The following is an 18,184-nucleotide window of genomic DNA, read 5'->3' on the forward strand; positions in this document are numbered from 1 at the left end:
ACCCTGGGACTGGCCCCCAAGACCACTTTTTCCTCCTCAGCCTTTGGGCCTGTGATAGGAGGGACTGCCATGAAGACCTCTGGCATGCCCTGGAGACGTTTTTTCCATTGTCTTGGGGATTAACATTGGGCTCCTTGTTACTTATACAAATTTCTGCGGCCAGCTTGGATTTCTCCTCAGAAAATGATATTTTCTTTTTTATTGCATTGTCAGGCTGCAAATTTTCAGAACTTTTATGTTCTGCTTCCCCTGTAAAACTGACTGCCTTTAACAGCACACAAGTCACCTCTTCAGTGCTTTGCTGCTTAGAAATTTCTTCTGCCAGATACCCTAAATAATCTCTATCAAGTTCAAAATTCACAGACCTCTAGGGCAGGGGCAAAATGCTGCCAGTCTCTTTGCTAAAACATAGCAAGAGTCACCCTTATTCCAGTTCCCAACAAGATCCTCATCTCCATCTGAGACCACCTCAGCCTGGACTTTACTGTCCATATCCCTATCAGCATTTTGGGCAAAGCCATTCAACAAGTCTCTAGGAAGTGCGAAACTTTTCCACATTTTCCTGTCTTCTGAGCCATCCAAAATGCTCCAACCTCTGTCTGTTACCCAGTTCCAAAGTTGCTTCCACATGTTCAGGTATCTTTTCAGCAGCACCCCACTCTACTGGTGCTAATACACTGTTAAATTAGCAAATAAATTTCACCATGCATTTTGAAGGGGATATTCAAACCATAGCACTCTGGTTTTGTTTGATTTTCTTTCTGTCTTCTCTCCTTCAAGTCAGAGCCCACCATGGAATCCTTGTTCTGATGGATTTACTTTTCTATGCTCTATTTTCTAATAGAGTCTTTCAACCTTTGTTTTTCGTCAAACCAATGTATTTTCTAAATCGTGTCCTCCTTTACTGCTATAAAAACCACACAGGCTCATGATAGCAATGGTCATTTTAAAATTTCTTTTAACGAATCTAAGCTTATAGGTTAGCATTTTAAGTTGTCCATGTTTATAAATAAAAAAGAATGTAAATGGTGAAGATTCTACCCAGAAGTTATGGACGTCGTGGTTGCCCTCCCAACTCCACACTCAACCTCTATTACATCCCATTTAATTGTCTTAGGCAAAACATGTTTGATCTTTCAGTCTTGCAGGAATGGCTTAGAGTAGGCTTGGATGGATCAATGCATATTGAAGATAGACTTACTGAACATATTGAGGAAAGAATATTTCTGTGTTTAAATGAAAGCTATGAAAGCTAATTTTTTCTATGTCTTGCTAGATGTAAACACCAAAACACGTAGTTTTAAATTGCCACCTACATGGTGAAGCACCAGCCTTAGAGTAAAATTGACCCTGTGCACTTGAGGAGGGTTACGAAACTTGGATCCATGATGAAATTCCTGAGTCTCTCTGATCTTTGCTGAAGCCCATTCTCACCACAGCTTCCACTGTTGTTGACCAATAGTTTCTCTTATTGTTTTAAACCAGCTAAAGTTGGGTATTCTGTAACTTATGGTCAGACCCATATTAAGGGTTACACTAGTTTTTATCATTGAGTGTCTACACTGTGTTAAATCCTGAGGCTGACATTTTACATACTGTATAACTCTAGTGAACATTGCTAAAGGTAAATTCTCTCAATCTCAGCAGTCCTACAAATTTCCCCAAAAAGGGAAGTCTTTTTCCTGGTGTCTTCAGTCTCAAACCTCTTATTTATTTTAGAAAAGGGTGGTAGGCCAAAAGTTACTAGACAGGTTTTAGACCATGTATATTATAAATCCTACACCCATGGGCTGGCTCTTCACTATGGAATATAAGTATGCTTCTCATTTTTTGTGTTGTTCTTAGCTTAGGTGAAGCTAAGAACCTATGGAGACTTTTTGTCTCCAAAACCAAGACAGAAAGTGTCCTAGCATCTTGTTTTACATAGATAAAATGTAGCTACATTGTAATGCATGTAGTGGAAAAATAACTGGACTCTATTAAAATAATTGGCTATGGTCTTGGCATCTTCTCTTATTAACTAAGTGACCTTGGAGAAGTTACTTGACATCTCTAAGCCTTAGGTTCCTCATCTGTCAAAAGGAAATATCATATCTATTTGTAATGCCTGACAAATAGATTCACAATAATATGATTGTTGAATGTAATTGTAGAATATGCACTTCTCCGTCTTGCAATTTAAAATATCACCAGTACAAGTGATAACTGAGCTTATTGAAATTAGCCAACTATACCATTAAGTGTCATATTAAGTACCTGTTCTTTGATTTGTTTGACATGGATTAAAAAGGGCAGAGAAATATCTCTTTAGCTACTAACAGGCAGAAATTCTAGTTATTATAACCATTTTAAGCCTATATTTTACATGTACTTACCTATTGTTCATGTTTTTAAAGATAAGATTCTTCACTTTTAGAATTTACATATTTTGAATTCGTTTCTCATGCCACCTGCATATGGGAAAGCTCTCCGTGTTAGATGAGGTAGACAGCATAGTCAGTTCCCTCAAATACATCTCACGTCTTCCTGACTGCCTGTTTATTTAGGCAATTGGCCAAAACTCCACATCTCAGCCCTGATTCATCTACGCTAAATCTAAGCTAAATCTCACCTGCCTTATTAGCCATTGGCTCAGAAACTCAGCTTTAAACACTTTAGTGATTGACATTAAACTGGTGATAGGTACTGCTTTATAGGTACCTATGTATGGGGCATTAACAGGGATGGAAGTTTATTTTTCATAGTTAGAAAGAGGCATTTGCCACCTCTCTTGCAGCAAATAGGAATGAGGAAGCCAATGCTAGCTTCCTCTTGTGACTGTAAGACAGGAAGCCATTGAACAACCACAGAAGGAGGCAGCATTAAGAGGAAGCTGAACACTCTGGATTACAGAGTACCAGAAAAGAAAAATCTGGGGTAATTCATCACTTTTGTGAACTGTCCTTTCTCTGGAATCCCAGAATTGTCAGTCATTAGAATCTTTGTCTTTAATTATCATGCAAAACACGAAAAGAGACCTCATATAAAGGAATGTGTTCATTATTTTACTCTCATCCTGGCTGTGGGTACTCAAATCATTGAAAAGGGGCTTATATGTCTATTTATGAAATATGATGTCTATTTGTTCCATTTAGGCTTTCCATTTTAGCAAGAGTAGTAGATTTTAAGTAAGTGGTTTATTATTTTTAGACTGATAACATTTTAGATATGTGATATATTTTAAATATAAAAATGATGACTACTGCATCCTTTTATATTCATATTGTGTGGTATTTTAATATATGTTATACATATGTATATTTTAAGAAATTGTTGTTGAAATTATCCTATTGTAATAGTTATTATTGCAAGTCACCCACATAGCAACCTTTATTTCTTACTACTGTTTTTACTATGCCAACACTTAACACACTTAGTAATCTCATAAGCTTCAGATTACCTCTAATGCAACTTCACTGCATTCTGTCTAATCACTTTCTTGTTTCTGACATAGATAAATATTTCTCAAATCATTTTACTCTTTCCATCTTTTAAGATTTTGATATATACTTCAAAATTTTGATAGATTTTGAGATGTGTGTGTATATATATGTATGTGTGTGTGTATATATATATATATCTGAACTCACTCTCCATATATATATATATTTCCCTTTGGATATATACCCAGTTATGCGATTGCTATGTTAGAAAATTAATTACTTTGAGACCTTTCTAACTTTTTGATGTAGGTGTTTAGAGCTATAAACTTTCCTCATATATGTATATCTGAACTATCTCTCCATATAGAGAGGTATAGATATTTTTCTCTGTATGTACTGATTTACTTAATAATTTTAACTTTCATTTTAGATTCAAGGGGTACATGTGCAGGTTTGTCATATGAGTATATCGTGTGTTGCTGAGGTTTGGGATATGAATGATCCTGTCAAGCAGCTAGTGAGTATTGTACTCAATCATTAGTTTTTCCCTCATCCATCCCTTTCATTCTAGTAGTCCCCCGTGTCTATTATTGCCAACTTAATATCCATGAGTACCTAATGTTTAGCTCCCAATTGCAAGTAGAACATGTAATTTACTTAGGATAATGGTATCTAGCTCCATTCATGTTGCCACAAAAGACATGATTTCATATTTATGGCTGCATAGTATTCCATGATGTATATGTACCACATTTTCTTTATCCAATCCACTGTTGATGAGCACCTAGGTTGATTCCATGTCTTTGCTATTGTTAGTAGAACAGCAATGAACATAAGAGTAAATGTGTCTTTTCAGCAGAATGATGTATTTCCCTTTGGATATATACCCAGTAATGCGATTGCTAGGTTAGAAAATTAATTTGAGATCTTCCTAACTTTTTGATATAGGTGTTTAGGGTTATAAACTTTCCTCTTAACACTGCTTTCACTGTATCTCCTATATTTTGGTTTGTTGTGTCTCTGTTTACATATATTTCAAATAAATATTTGTTTTCTGCCTTAATTTCATTGTTTACTCAGAAGTTATTCAGGAGCAAGTTGTTTAATTTCCATGTGCTTGTGTGGTTTGGGGAAACTATTTTATATTGATATATATTTTTATTCCACTATGGTCTGATAATGTGGTTGGTGTCATTTTGATTTTTTTTAAATTTATTGAGACTTGCTTTATGGCCAAACATAATGTTGATCTTGGAGAATGTTTTGTGTGTAGATGAGAAGGATGTATATTCTCTTGTTGATAAGTGGAGTGTCCTATAGATGTCTGTTAGATACAATTGGTCAGTGTTGTATTCAAGTCCAGAATTCCTTTGTTAGTTTTCAGCATCAATGGTCTATCTAATGTTGTCAGTAGGGTGTTGAATTCTCCTACTATCATTCTGTGGCTCTGTAAGTCTTTTCATAGGTCTAGAAGTAGTTGTTTTATTAACCTGGGTGCTCCAGTGGTGGGTGCATATATATTTAGAATAGTTAAGTACTCTTGTTGATTTCAACTGTTTGTCATTATGTAATGTTCTTCTTTGGCTTTATTAAATCATTGTTTAAAGTTTATTTTATCTGATCTAAGAATAGCAACTCCTTTTTTTTCCATTTGAGTGACAGATCTTTCTCCAACCCTTTACTTTGAACCTATGGTTGTCATTGTGTGTGAGATGGGTTTCTTAAAGACAGCAGATGGATGAATCTTGCTTTTTAATCCGACTTGCAATTCTGTGCCTGTTAAATGGGGCATTTAGATCATTCACATTCAAGGTTAATATTGATATGTGAGGTTTAATCTTGTTGTGAAGTTGCTAGCTTGTTGCTTTGTAGTTTCTATTGTGTCGTTGCCTTATAGGCTCTGTGGACTATGTACTTAAGTGTGTTTTTGTGGTAGCAGGTATCATGCTTTCATTTCCATGTTTAGAACTCCCTTAAGAATCTTCTTTAAGGCTGATATAGTGATAATGAATTTCCTTAGTGCTTGCTTGACTAGAAAAAAAATGTATCTCCTTTGTTATGAAGCTTAAATGGTGGTATATGATATTCTGGGTTTTAATTTCTTTTCTTTAAGAATGCTGAAAAAAGGCTTCCAGTCTCTTCTGGCTTATAAGATTTATGCAGAAAAGTCTCCCGTTAGCCTGATGGGATTCCCTTTGTATGTAATCTAGTCTTTTTCTCAAGCTACCTTTTAGATTTTTTCTTCAGGGTTAGCCATGGACAGTCTGGGGACTATGTGTCTTGGTGATGTATATTTTGTACAGTATCTCACAGTTCTTCTCTGGGTTTCCTGTATCTGGATGTTTACCTCTTTAGCAAGATTAGGGAAATTTTCTTGAATTAATCCCTCAAATATGTTTTCCAAGTTGTTTACTTTTTTTGTTGATTCCAAAAATGCCGATAATTTGTAGGTTTGGTTGCTTTACATAATTCTATATTTTTTGAAGACTTTGTTCATTTTTTTAAATTATTTTTTCTTAATTTTTGTCTAATTTGGCTAGTTTGAAGGACCAGCTCCAAGCTCTGAAATTCTTTTTTTCTATTTGATCCAGTCTAGTAATAAGTGTTTCAATTATATTTTGAAATTCCTTAAGTTTTTCAATTTCAGAAATTCTGATTGATATCTTTTTAAAATGTTTATGTCTTCCTTCATTTCCTGGATTGATATAGAAGTTTCTCCATGTTGATTTTCAACCTTGTCTTGGGTCTCTTTGAGTTTCTTTGCAATCCATGCTTTTGAATTCTTTATCTGTCATTTCTGAGTTTCCATTTTGGTTAGTGACCGTTACCGGAGAGCTAGTGTGATCCATTGGTTGTTTCACTGCATTCAGATTTTTCATGGTTCCAGAATTCTTGTTCTGATTTCTTATGTGGAGACACTAGAACTTCTAATTTTTATAATCATTTTCATATGTGAATAATTTTTTTTCTTTTTCTTTCTCTCCCTATAATAAAATACGGTGTTTTTTTTTTTTCTTTCTCTTTCCCTTTTCCCTTTGTCCCCACTCCGGGGTGTGATTGTAAAGAATGTTGGGAAGAGTCTTTTTGCTTTGCCTCTATAGCCCTATGCATTTCAGCAGATTTTATATTGGGCTGTGCAGTTCATCCTACAAGTCAGTAAATGATTCTTATGGGTAAGTGCCAGATGTGGCCAGTGTGGCTGCATATATACTTAATTCTTGTTTACTGGGAGCTCTCTGTTCCCTCAGACAATGGGCTGATTCATGGAATACACAATGTTCTGTGCTCCTAAGGTGGGGGACAAGATGGGTGGGGCCAGGTTGGGCAGGTCCACCTACAGTTTCCCTGCTGGCAGGCGCAAGCACCAGTGCCAAGGGAGAATCAAATGGGTAGCCACCAAGCACCCAGAAGTGTGCCTAGGCTTGAAGCTGGGAAACCTCCTTGGCCCCAAGCTCTCTGCATAGTAGGTGGGGTAGCCTCAACTCCTAATCCAGGAGAGTGAGTGCTCCAGATAGCTGGAAATTTGCATGGGTGTGAGGTGTAGAAGACCCCAGTGCAGCACGATCGCTCCACAAGAATGGTGGGGTGCCTCAGGCTGCTGAACCAGGCAAGCGGATACTCCTAATGCCTGGAAATCTGCGTGGATGTGAATTGGAGAGGGCCTCCCTGTACCAGGATCTCTGCACAGAAAGGGTGGTGTGGCTCAGGCTGCTGAGCAAGGCAAGCAGGTGCTTAGAATGCCTGGAAGTCTACTTTGGTGTAAAGTGGAGAGGGCCTCCCTGTACCAGGATCTCTACACAGAAAGGGTGGTGTGGCTTGGGCTACTGAACCAGGCAAGCAGGTTCTCAGAATGCCTGGAGCTCTGACCAAGTATGAGGAAGACAGGGCCTTCTTGCACCAAGATTTCTGCACAGGAAGGATGGGACAGCTCAGGCTGCTAGTTCATGTTAGCGGATGTCCCAAATGCCTGGTGATCTTCCCAGGAGTGGAGCAGAGGGCACCCTGCTGCACCAGGATCTCTGGGGAGCAGGCTAGGGCATCCAGCAATGACACACACAGACTGGTTCCAGGTCCCCAAGCTGACTCTTGCTGCAAATCTCGTTGCCCAGGAGAAACCAGAGCTGCAGCAGCTCTTCTCCTGTCCCAGGCCTGTGACCATGGAGAGCACAATTCTAGCACCTACTACTGAGCCACTTTTCACAGTTCTGAGTGTGAAGGCCCCTACCCTACTCCAGAGTAAGAACTCTAGTCTCTGGCCTGAAACTAAAATGCCTGTGCCATCATAATGCCATGTCACCAAAGAATGACTGACTTTGTATACACCTGGATTAAAAATTATGTCCTGTTCTTGGTCCTGGGTCTGGGTTAAACACCTGACACTTTTCATGGTATCTTTCCCTCTCACTGTCTGTAAGCCTATCTCCAAGTTAGCTCCAGGTCTGGAGAGAAACAAAATGTTCTCCCTTGGCCTCGAATTCCATGTGAAAAGATGAGTCACAAAAGGAGGTTCTGTGCCTCTCTCACGTACTGGGGCTACACTCACTTTTATCAGCCAAATGCTGTCATGGGGTCTGTCTACCCATCTCTTCTCCTTCTTGAGATCTGGAGTGTCCTTCATGCTTCCAATTTTCTTTCTCAAAATACAACTGACAGAGTTGATCTGTATGCACTATCTTGCTGTTTTCAAGTGGCATGCTAAAATCCCCTGGTATTCCATCTTGGGAAAAAAAACTAAAATGACTTTGAAACATTAGAAAGCACCCCTAATTTTCACAGTTAGCGTGACTGAAAGAACCATTTACATTTAGAGCATAAGGTTTTTTTCAGACAACAAATTTACAAACTAAAAACCTTTGAAACACATTAGGATATTTATATGTCATTACCAACTAGCTAATACCTTTAGCTAAAATATATTCTAAAATGCTGCACTGAAGACTGAAATAATTTGCATTTGAGATCTAAAAACTGTTCATAAGCTCATATGAATGAATTTATATTAATTAAAACTACAAGGCCATATTAAGTTATGGTTGTTTTAAGTAGCAAAATGGCCAGTGTAGATATTTTTATCTTTGTGTAATATAATAAGTATAAATATTTTCAAGAATGTGTTATGACTAATATATAATATAGAATGTAATAACCTGGAAAATTATTGTATGTGATAATTATTAATTTTAATCTTTAAATGTTTACATCTTTATACCTCAACCCGCCCTTATGAGAATCATGTCAGTTCTTCATTCATCTTTGTCCCACAGCCATAATAAAAGTCTCATTTATTTTTCCTACTGTTTGAACTTTCTATTTCAAACTTTGGTAATCGGTTACTACCTTTCAAAAGCCTTGTAGATTTTGAAGGACTATATTCCCTTATTTTTTGTCCATTTTGTCAGATTATCCTTTTTTTTAACAGAGCTGAATTGTTACATTTATTGGCCCTGTTGAAGTGAAAAACCACTAGGATATTTTGCCTTGGGGCTATGTATTTTCCCTTTCTTGTTTCTTAGTAAATAGGAGCCTAGTACTAGAAATTGAGTTATTGGCCCATCGCCTTACATTAATTCTCTCATTTATGCTTTATTACTACTTTAACAAGGTGCTTAGAGTTAGGATTCACATTTTAGATGTGGCGAACTTGAGGCTTAAAAATGTTGCTATCATCCTTAGGTGACATTGCTATTAAGAGGAGGACTCAGGATAAGAACGTGGGGCTAGCTGACTTTGGAATCCTTGCTTTAACTCTTGTGTTTTCTGCTTCACATTTGCTTGCATGGCTTCATCTGCTGTTTGGAGATAGTTGACATTTCACTGCATCTTGATTCACAAGTTTTATTTCTGTATATCATGTGGTAGTTAGGTCAGGACTAGAGAGATATCTTCTTGTCTCTTCTAACCCTTACTGGCTATTGTCCACTGCCTGACAGATGAAAACTAGTCATCTCTCTGAAAACTATAAGCCAGAAGTCATTCTTAATTCCATAGTTGTTGTACCATATTTTTGGGGCCAGAACATTTCTTTAATGTATACATCTTGTACCCTCAACCAAATCTGTTTGTTAGGAGTTGGTAAATATTTGCCAGAATTACTGTAAATTGCCACATATGTGTAATTATTACAGAGTGCTTCTGATCAAATAATATTTCTAAGTCTCCACTGAACCAGATTGCTTTACTTCATGAAGTCTTTTAAGATCTTCCAGGCTCTGTATGTCTGTTTCATAATATATATAGATTCCTGAATGCAGAAGACATGCTCTTTTCTGGAGTAACCAGTATTTACTTTTAACTCTCCAATTTTATATTTATTTGCTTTCTCTTATACTAAGGTAAAAAACATGTTAGAAAATGTTACTGTTCAAAGTGTTTACCTCTTATCTCCTAAACAGGAAATTATGATTCATTTGGTTTAAATTTCTCATCAGTTATTTATTTGGTAGATTTTTCCTAGTTTTTAAACACGATTGCTCTCAGAAACCTAAGCATAGAGTATCAAGTACGATTGATGATCACAACACATTAATTGGATAAAAAGGGGATCATGTTACTTAAGTAGCTTGGCTTACAATTGGCCATAGAACTGTTCCTATTTGGAGCTCAAAAGTATGATACATAGTCTTTGTTCCTTCAATTATTATTTTTTCATTATCTACGCTCTAATTTTGCTATCTGGTAAACCTTGTTGTTCAGAGGGATCCAGGGAACTTTCATCATTGCTTGCCTTTCCTATAAACTGCGTTCATTTTTCCTTTCCAATTTGTGTCAATTAAAACTTTCCTAAGTTATAATTTGGTGGAACTTAATCTTTGTTAAATAACAAATATACTGTATGAAAGATAACTCTTGCTAAACTGCATCAGAGGAAGTAACACCCATGCATCCTTCCAGGATATTCTACAAATAATAACTAAACTAAAATAATGTTTATAATGCCTGAATTTTCATAGGGGCATTATGATGCTGAAACTGAAGACCAATGTGCCTCTGAAAACCCATATGAACAGTAGTCTGTTCTACTTAGTCATACCTACTCCATGAACAAAATAATGGTTCATATATTTTTTTCTATTTTTTTTGACTTTTTAATGGCCATCACAGAAATCTATCACTCTGAAACAGTTTTCTCTGTTACAGGTGGTTCAAAAGTATAAAGCACATTATTCATTATAGTTAAACTGCTGAACTGTGTAAACATACATATTTACTAAAACGACTAAAATGGGTAATATTTTAATAGATCATTGATAGATATTTAGTAAAAACACTAAATCAACATAATGCTCGCCAGAGCAATATAGGACTATAGTAAGAGTGTAGACAAAAGGCTGTAATTGTATGTATATATTAACATTTTATGTAAAATTATTTACTTTCAGTTTCTTTACCAGTTATTTTTTGTTTCTTACCCTTAATATGAATTTTGTTGCAAAACGAGGTCATAACATCTTGGTGTTTTATGAAACTTGTGCACTATGCAATTTAGTCAGTGCTTATACATAGGTGAGACACTTCCATTTGAAGATGGAATCACCATTGACCTTTTACAGTGACAAGACTTTTTACTAATCATTTATTTGAGGGTAATGACTTCACATATGTGTGGAAGAATATAATCTTAATGTTGGAAACTAATTTAAAAGTCATTTGTATGTTAAAACAGTGAACTATTTACTGGTAACTATCTTAAACGACAGTTAGTATTAAAACCAGTGCTTTATAAACATCAAATCAGCAATGGAGGTAAAACAGCCAGTCAGCCAGGCCTCATGGCTCCAAGTTGTAATCTTAGCACTTTAGCAGGCAGAGGCAGGAGGCTTACTTGAGCCCAGGAGTTTGAGACCAGCCTGGGCAGCAAAGCAAAAATCCGATCTCTATAAATAAATAAATAAATAAATAGGAAAGAAAAAAAATTAGCCAGTCATGGTGGCACACTTGTGTAGTTCTAGCTACTCAGAAGGCTGAGCAGGGAGGATTGCTTGAGCCTAAGAGTTTGAGGCTGTAGTCAGGTGTGATTCTGCCACTTCACTCCAACATAGACGAAAGAGTGAGACCCTGTCTCTAAAATAAAATAAATATATTTTTAAAATAAAATAAATAGTCAACATCATCAAGCAGCATGTATAATACAAAATAATAAGAGTAATAATAAAAACAAATAAATAGAAACAATTTCAACAAAACATTTGAACTGGAGTCTGAAATGTATGGATCTTAGTTCTGGCAGTACCTTTGGCTGTATATGTGACTTTGAGCCAAAATACTTTTATTTTCTGCATTTATAAAATATTCCAACTATGAAAGTTAGGTGAGTATTGAGTAGTACATGAAGGTGGGGTGGTAGAGGATTACTAAATTGCTAAATAATCTGAAATGCAAATGCCTTCTCACCCTTGAGTGTAAATTCTCCAGAGAGGTCAGTTGCAGTTTTGTCTGTTTTGTTTTCATGACACTGCATTAACATACACCCATGCTTATTTTCAGGTTTCTGCTCATTCAGTGGGAAAATTCTGGTAATGATTTTGGCAATATCACTCCTGTTGGGGGTGGTTTCCAAAATCTAAAGGGCTGTATTTCACTTTGAGCAATCTTCCATTAGTCATATTTATTGGATAAACTTGGCCAGGTCAGCAATCACTAAAAGCACACGCAAACAAATTTAGTTGGTGTTGCTTCTGTTTGAAGAAAACACAAATAAGGTAGGCTGTAACTATCTCTTTGAGAGTTACAGACTAACAACTTAAAAAATCTATAATCCAGAGAAGAAAAGACTAGATATAATTGCTCAGCAAAAAAGTTTACGTGTCTGAGCCTCCTATAGATAGATCATCTTAATGAGTCCAAAGACTCTCAAGGAAAAAGAAAACACACACATCTTTGTCTTTCCATTTCAAAAATGATGGAAGTCTTTCAAGTATGAAAAATAAAGCAAATTGAAACCATCTCCTATCTGTCTTTTAATAAAACAAGAGTGAAAGATACTGCATAATCTTTGTAAATGTTTGTAAATCCTTTAACTCTCAGATTTCTTTTGTAATTAAGATTAGAATCTATTCAATTCATCTAACTTTCTCTCCTAATTCTTTATCATTAAGAGAATTCATCAAGGCTACCACATAAGAATGGGAAAGATTCCAAATTTTATAGCTGCCTTCTATATTGAAGCCAAAACATTTTATGAGTCTCTTGGTTCTAATGTTCTTAACTCAGTTGAGTGTCTGAGCATTTTAGATGAGAGACATTTTTATCACTTTGACAAAAATGGCATCTTTAATTTTAATGGCTCCATCAAAAATTGATCAAGCATGTTGTTTTTTGTGAGTCCTTTTAGAAATGAATTCACTAACCAACAATTTTAAAGATTCATCCATTTTTATTTAAAAACGTCCCTTCAGCTCACTACATGAACTATTTATTCACAGATGGCATCTTTTAAAAATAAATCTGAATTGTGTTTTGAAACCCAGAACCAAGGTTTCCAACAATGAGCTCAGTTTTTGCAGTTAATCAATCATTCAGTCACACCATCTGATGTGGTTTGAACATTTGTCCTCTCCAAATCTCATGTCGAAATGTGATTCCCAGTGTTGGAGGTGGAGCTTTGTGGGAGGTGGTTGGTTTAGGGGGTCAGATCCCTTGTGAATGGCTTAGCACCATTGCTTTGGTGATGGATAAGTTATTGCCCAGTTTGTTCACACAAAAGTTGGTTATTTAAAAGAGTGTAGCACCTCCCTTATTTCTCTCTCTTGCTCCCATTCTTGCCATATGACATCCCTCCTCCCCACTTCACCTTCCATCATGACTATAAGCTTCCAGAAGCCTGCAATAGAAGCAGATGCCAGCACCACACTACCCATACTCCCTGTAGAACCATGAGCCAATTAAACCTCCTTTCTTTATAAATTATAAATTTCTTTATAAATTTACCAGTCTCAGGTATTCCTTTATAGTAACACAAACAGAGTAATACAACATTATAGTATTACCTATCCTCATTTTCATAAACAATCGTTTCCTATTCTATACAGGAAAGAATACATTATTTTGAGTGACAATGCTTTTGTAATTTCAAACCTTTTAAAAATAATTCTTGCATATATTTTGATATCTTAATTCTTGTACACATTTATATCTTAAGTAGTTCTATGGAAGGCATGATTTTAAAAAAATGAAGTTTTGTTTTTGCACCCCTCTTTTAAAAGAAATATGTCCAAGTTAATGCATTCTGTACCTATAATATTCATTTTTTTAAAAAAATACTCAAATATTTAGCAATGGTTTTGGAGTTTTAAATATTTTAAAGTATACATGATTATTAGGGGAAAATTTAAGAAAGCAACACTTTGTTGCCAATTAGGTGAAGAATAATTTATTTAAAGAGATAGTTTACTGGAAGAATTAGTATTAAAAATTTTAATTGTTGAAACCAAATCGTATATAAACTGCAACCTAAAACATTAGAAGTAATGTTCTGTATATAATCTGTACATGTTTGCCAAAATTCTGTTTCTGGTATTTTAACATAGCAATTGTTTTTCTGTTCATAAATAAAGATGAAAATGTTTATTGCAAATTATCAGTTATTTATTATCTCATTACAGATGCAAATAAAACCATAGACAAAAATAGACTGCTTTTAAATGGCTGTCTTCTAATTTTCACCTTGTATTACAAAGATGATATGAACTACTAAACTATATTATTTAAAAATAAATAAAGGTCCTTATCATTTATCACCCCTACAGTAAATATTGAACAAAACAACCATGTCTCTATTCCTTTCTAGTCTTTGATAATATGCAAACTTACTTTTATCAATGTTGCTAAATTTCGAACACTTTAGTGGCAATGCACTTTGCTAGATTTAGAATATAATGGACTTGCAAGGAGATGCATATTGTTTTATATTTCAGGGAGCCTAAAATGTGATTTACAAACCATTCTTATGAGTCCAGAAAGGATTTCCACAGGAAATGTAGTTTGAGTGTGAACTTGATGTTTAGAAATAGTTATAAAAAAGGCATAGATAATATCAGTTTTGTACGTTAACACATATTATATAATTTTCATTTTTAATGACTATATAGTGTTCAAGTCATCTCTATTTTACGTAATGATTTTTCTGTTTTAGAGCCTTGGTTCTTTTCAGTCCTTTAATTTGCCATTATACATATGTCTAATAGAATATATATGTATATATCTGTATGATTTTATTAAAATAAAGCCACCAAAATGGTATGGTTTTGTTAACAAAAGATGAGAGTTTAAAAAAAAAATAGAGAATTTGAAGTTGCCTTTCCTTTCTCCGATCATTGGTAATGTCTTAATTTATGCCTGTATATGTTAATTGAATGAAAGGTTCTCATCTGCTCATTTGGTGGGTAGTACCCAATGGAGTGGTCTATACAAAATGGGATTTTAGCATCTAGATGTTCATTTTTAAAAACAAAAGGAAATTTTGTAGTTATATATTTCAAGACTCTTAATATCTAAGATGTTTAATGATGCAATGATAATAAATTTTTCTTATGGACAATGACAACAACAATAAAAAAGTGTGAGATAATTGAGTCTAGGACCAAAGTCTCATCACACACCAACTGTAGGTCTTCGTCACTCTATTTTCCTTTTGTCCATGGTTAAAATTATCTAAATCATTTGGGTTTTTATTTATATTTTCAGATCATATGAATTTACGGGATCTTTTTTTCACATACAGTATCTGAAATGCTCTCTCTCTCTCTCTTTTTAAATTTGTCACAAACTTAACCAGATTTGATATTTTCAAAGGTAAGTCCCATTCTTGGCTACCTTCTGTGTTCTTCAGTGTCTTGTGCTAACTCTTCACTGATATTATCTTATTTAATTTTCATGTAAAATCTGTGAGATAAAATAATTGGTGCTTAGGTAAAATGACTTTCTAATAATCATAAAGCTAATAAATGATAGAATCAAATTTTAAAATATCCCTCTTTCTAGTATAGTTATTATGCAGTCTTGCATCAGATAGATCTGTATGGAGTTCCATTCTTGCTACTTCCACCATTCTACCCTAAAATTGTCACCTATAGCCTGCACTATGGAAATCATCCCCTAACTGATTTCTCTGCTTCAACTTTAGCCATCATCAGCCAGAAAAATATTTGAAAAAATATAAATTTGATCATGTAATCCATTGTTGATGTTTTCCCTTCTTTATCTCCTTCAGATATTTGAGCTAAATTTACATGATAAGGAGTTAGCTAGGCAAAGAAGAGGAATTAGGATATTCCAAATTGGTGGTGCAGATGCCTCACATATCCAAAAGGCAAGTTTGCTTGAAGATTTGCAAGTATAATTAGAGAGTTGAAGTCATTTTTTAAAGTATATGTTTTAGCAGGTGATTCTGGAATGATGGCATAGTGAGAAGCACCAGAAATCTGTCTTCTCATCCAGACAACAAATTTACTTTCAGAATATGTCTGATATAACTGTACTGAAACTCTGAAGCCTATTGAAGTCTTGAAACTTCTGAAAGAAGGATTGGACAGTAAATTGTAGTTAATTTTGATCTTCCACTTCAGCTACCCATCCCCTGCACCCAGTTCCAGGGCAGCCAGCTGTGTACATGTTCCTAGAGCAGCATGCATACAGCTTGGGGAAGCCAGAATGTGCAAAAATGACTCTCAAATATCAGGATCTGTGTTCTGATTATTGATTGCTGATTTTGATGATTATGACGAGGCAGTGGCCGTTATTGTTTCACCAACCCCTATTGTTGTAAGTCTTCTGCTTCTGGCTGAGGTGACTTCAAGGGGATTTAAGAGGCTGGTGCCTTGTTCCCACTTTTATTTTTGCCTTTGTCTCATTTTGGGAGCCAGACATTGATAACTAAAATATTTTTTAAAAATACATATATTAGGTAAATTAAGAAGTAACCACACTTGCCAAGGGGAAGTTACAGGCTTAAATAAGACATGAAAATACCTTAAGTTTACATTTCAGGCGAACTCTGCAACAGAGACAGCCTACAACAATCAAAACGAAACATAAACAAAAAATGAAAACAAGAACAAACACTGTGGGAAAGGGATAATCTAATATTCTAGGGTTATTATATAATTAGATTCAAATGTATAGTTTTCAGAAAAATGTATAAACATACAAGGAAACAAGAAAAGATGAGATAGTTCAAGAAAAAAAATTAACCAACAGAATTTCTGATGGCAGATCTACTAGACAAAAAAAAAATCTGTATTAAAAATACTCAAAGAATTAAAGGAACACATTGAAACGTCAACACAATTATATGTGAACAAAGTAGAAAAATCAATAAATTTACAGAAAACCTAAGGAGAAACAAAAAATATCTTATAGCTAAAAAGTACCAGAAAAGAAAAGAAAAAAATTCACTAGAGGGATTTATAGAAAGATTTCATCAGGCTGGAGCAAGAATCAGCAAACTTGAAGATAGAGCATTAAAAATTATAGTCTTAGGAAAAGAAAGTTAAAAAAAAAAAACAGATTGAACAAAAGGACCATTGGTATGTCATCAAGGAGACCAACACATTTTGTAGACCTAAAGAAGAGAGTTAGAAAGGAGCAGAGAGAATGTTTGAAGAAATAATGGCTGAAGGCTTTCCAAATTTGATGAAAGACATAAATATAAGCAGCTAAGAATCTCAGAGAACTCCACGTGGGATGAACTCAAAGACAGCCACACCTAAATACATTATATAATCAAACTGTTTAAAGACAAATAAATTTGAAAGCAGCATGGGAGAAGCCTGCTTATCATATGCAAACGATACTAATAAGTAACTTTGGAGGCCACAAAGCTGTGGGTTGATACATTCAGTGCTAAAAGAAAATTAAAAAAAAAAATATCAACCAAGACTCCTGTATTTAACAAAACTTGTCTTCAAAAGTGACAGAGAAAGTAAAAGAATCCCAGATAAAGAAAAGCTGAAGTAGTTATTACCAGTAGACCTGCCTTAAAATAAATGTTAAGGAGAGTTCTGCAGATCAAAATAAGAAGACATCAAACAGTAGGTCTCAATCAGTAAGAAGAAATAAAGATCTCAGTAAAGGTAAGTAAGTATGTGGGAAATTGTAAAAGTCATATTATTTTTAATAATTGTAACTCCACTTTTTGATTTCTCCATGATTTAGTCATGAATACATTAAAAAGCAATTACTCTAAAAGCTAATATCATTGTAACTCTGGTTGGTAACTCTAAATTTTGTTTTCTACACAATTTAAAATATTAATATATAAAAAAATTATTGATTTATGAACAATGGTTCCTTATTGATTTTTTATCTACATAAACTGCCCAGTGTTGCAAGTAGGGTATTGAAGTATTCTGTTGTTATTGTATTGCAGATCTCTTTCTTCAGTTCTATTAATATTTGCTTTATATATTCAGGTCCTCTGATGCTGTGTTTATATATGTATATATATATTTTTTCTTTTCTTTTCTTTTCTTTTTTTTTTTTTGTGATGGAGTTTCACTCTTATTGCCCAGGCTGGGGTGCAATGGCATGATCTCGGCTCACTGCAACCTCTGCCTCCTGGGTTCAAGCAATTCTCCCGCCTCAGCCTTCTGAGTAGCCGGGATTACAGGTGCGCACCAATTTTGTATTTTTAGTAGAGATGGGGTTTCACCATGTTGGCCAGGCTGGTCTTGAACTCCTGACCTCAGGTGATCTGCCACCTCAGCCTCCCAAAGTACTGGGATTACAGGCGTGAGCCACCTTTCCTGGACTGGTTTTATATATAT

At 35.0% G+C, this 18,184-nt stretch overlaps 1 protein-coding gene across 8 annotated transcripts in view; it reads left to right on the forward strand.

Annotated features, from left to right (window-relative positions):
* Positions 1–18,184, forward strand: part of LRFN5 (leucine rich repeat and fibronectin type III domain containing 5) — a 297,674-nt gene that overhangs the window by 109,266 nt on the left and 170,224 nt on the right. For 2 of the 8 annotated variants that reach the window (XR_007063991.1, XM_047431029.1), the window contains exon 1: positions 173–17,491. The exons of the other annotated variants lie outside the window; for them this stretch is intronic. The gene's annotated coding sequence lies outside the window, so the exon portion shown is untranslated. Of the gene's footprint in view, positions 1–172; positions 17,492–18,184 lie in introns of those variants that run through there. 8 annotated transcript variants of the gene reach the window in all.

This window comes from Homo sapiens, chromosome 14 (assembly GCF_000001405.40).
Source record: "Homo sapiens chromosome 14, GRCh38.p14 Primary Assembly".
NCBI lineage: Eukaryota > Metazoa > Chordata > Mammalia > Primates > Hominidae > Homo > Homo sapiens.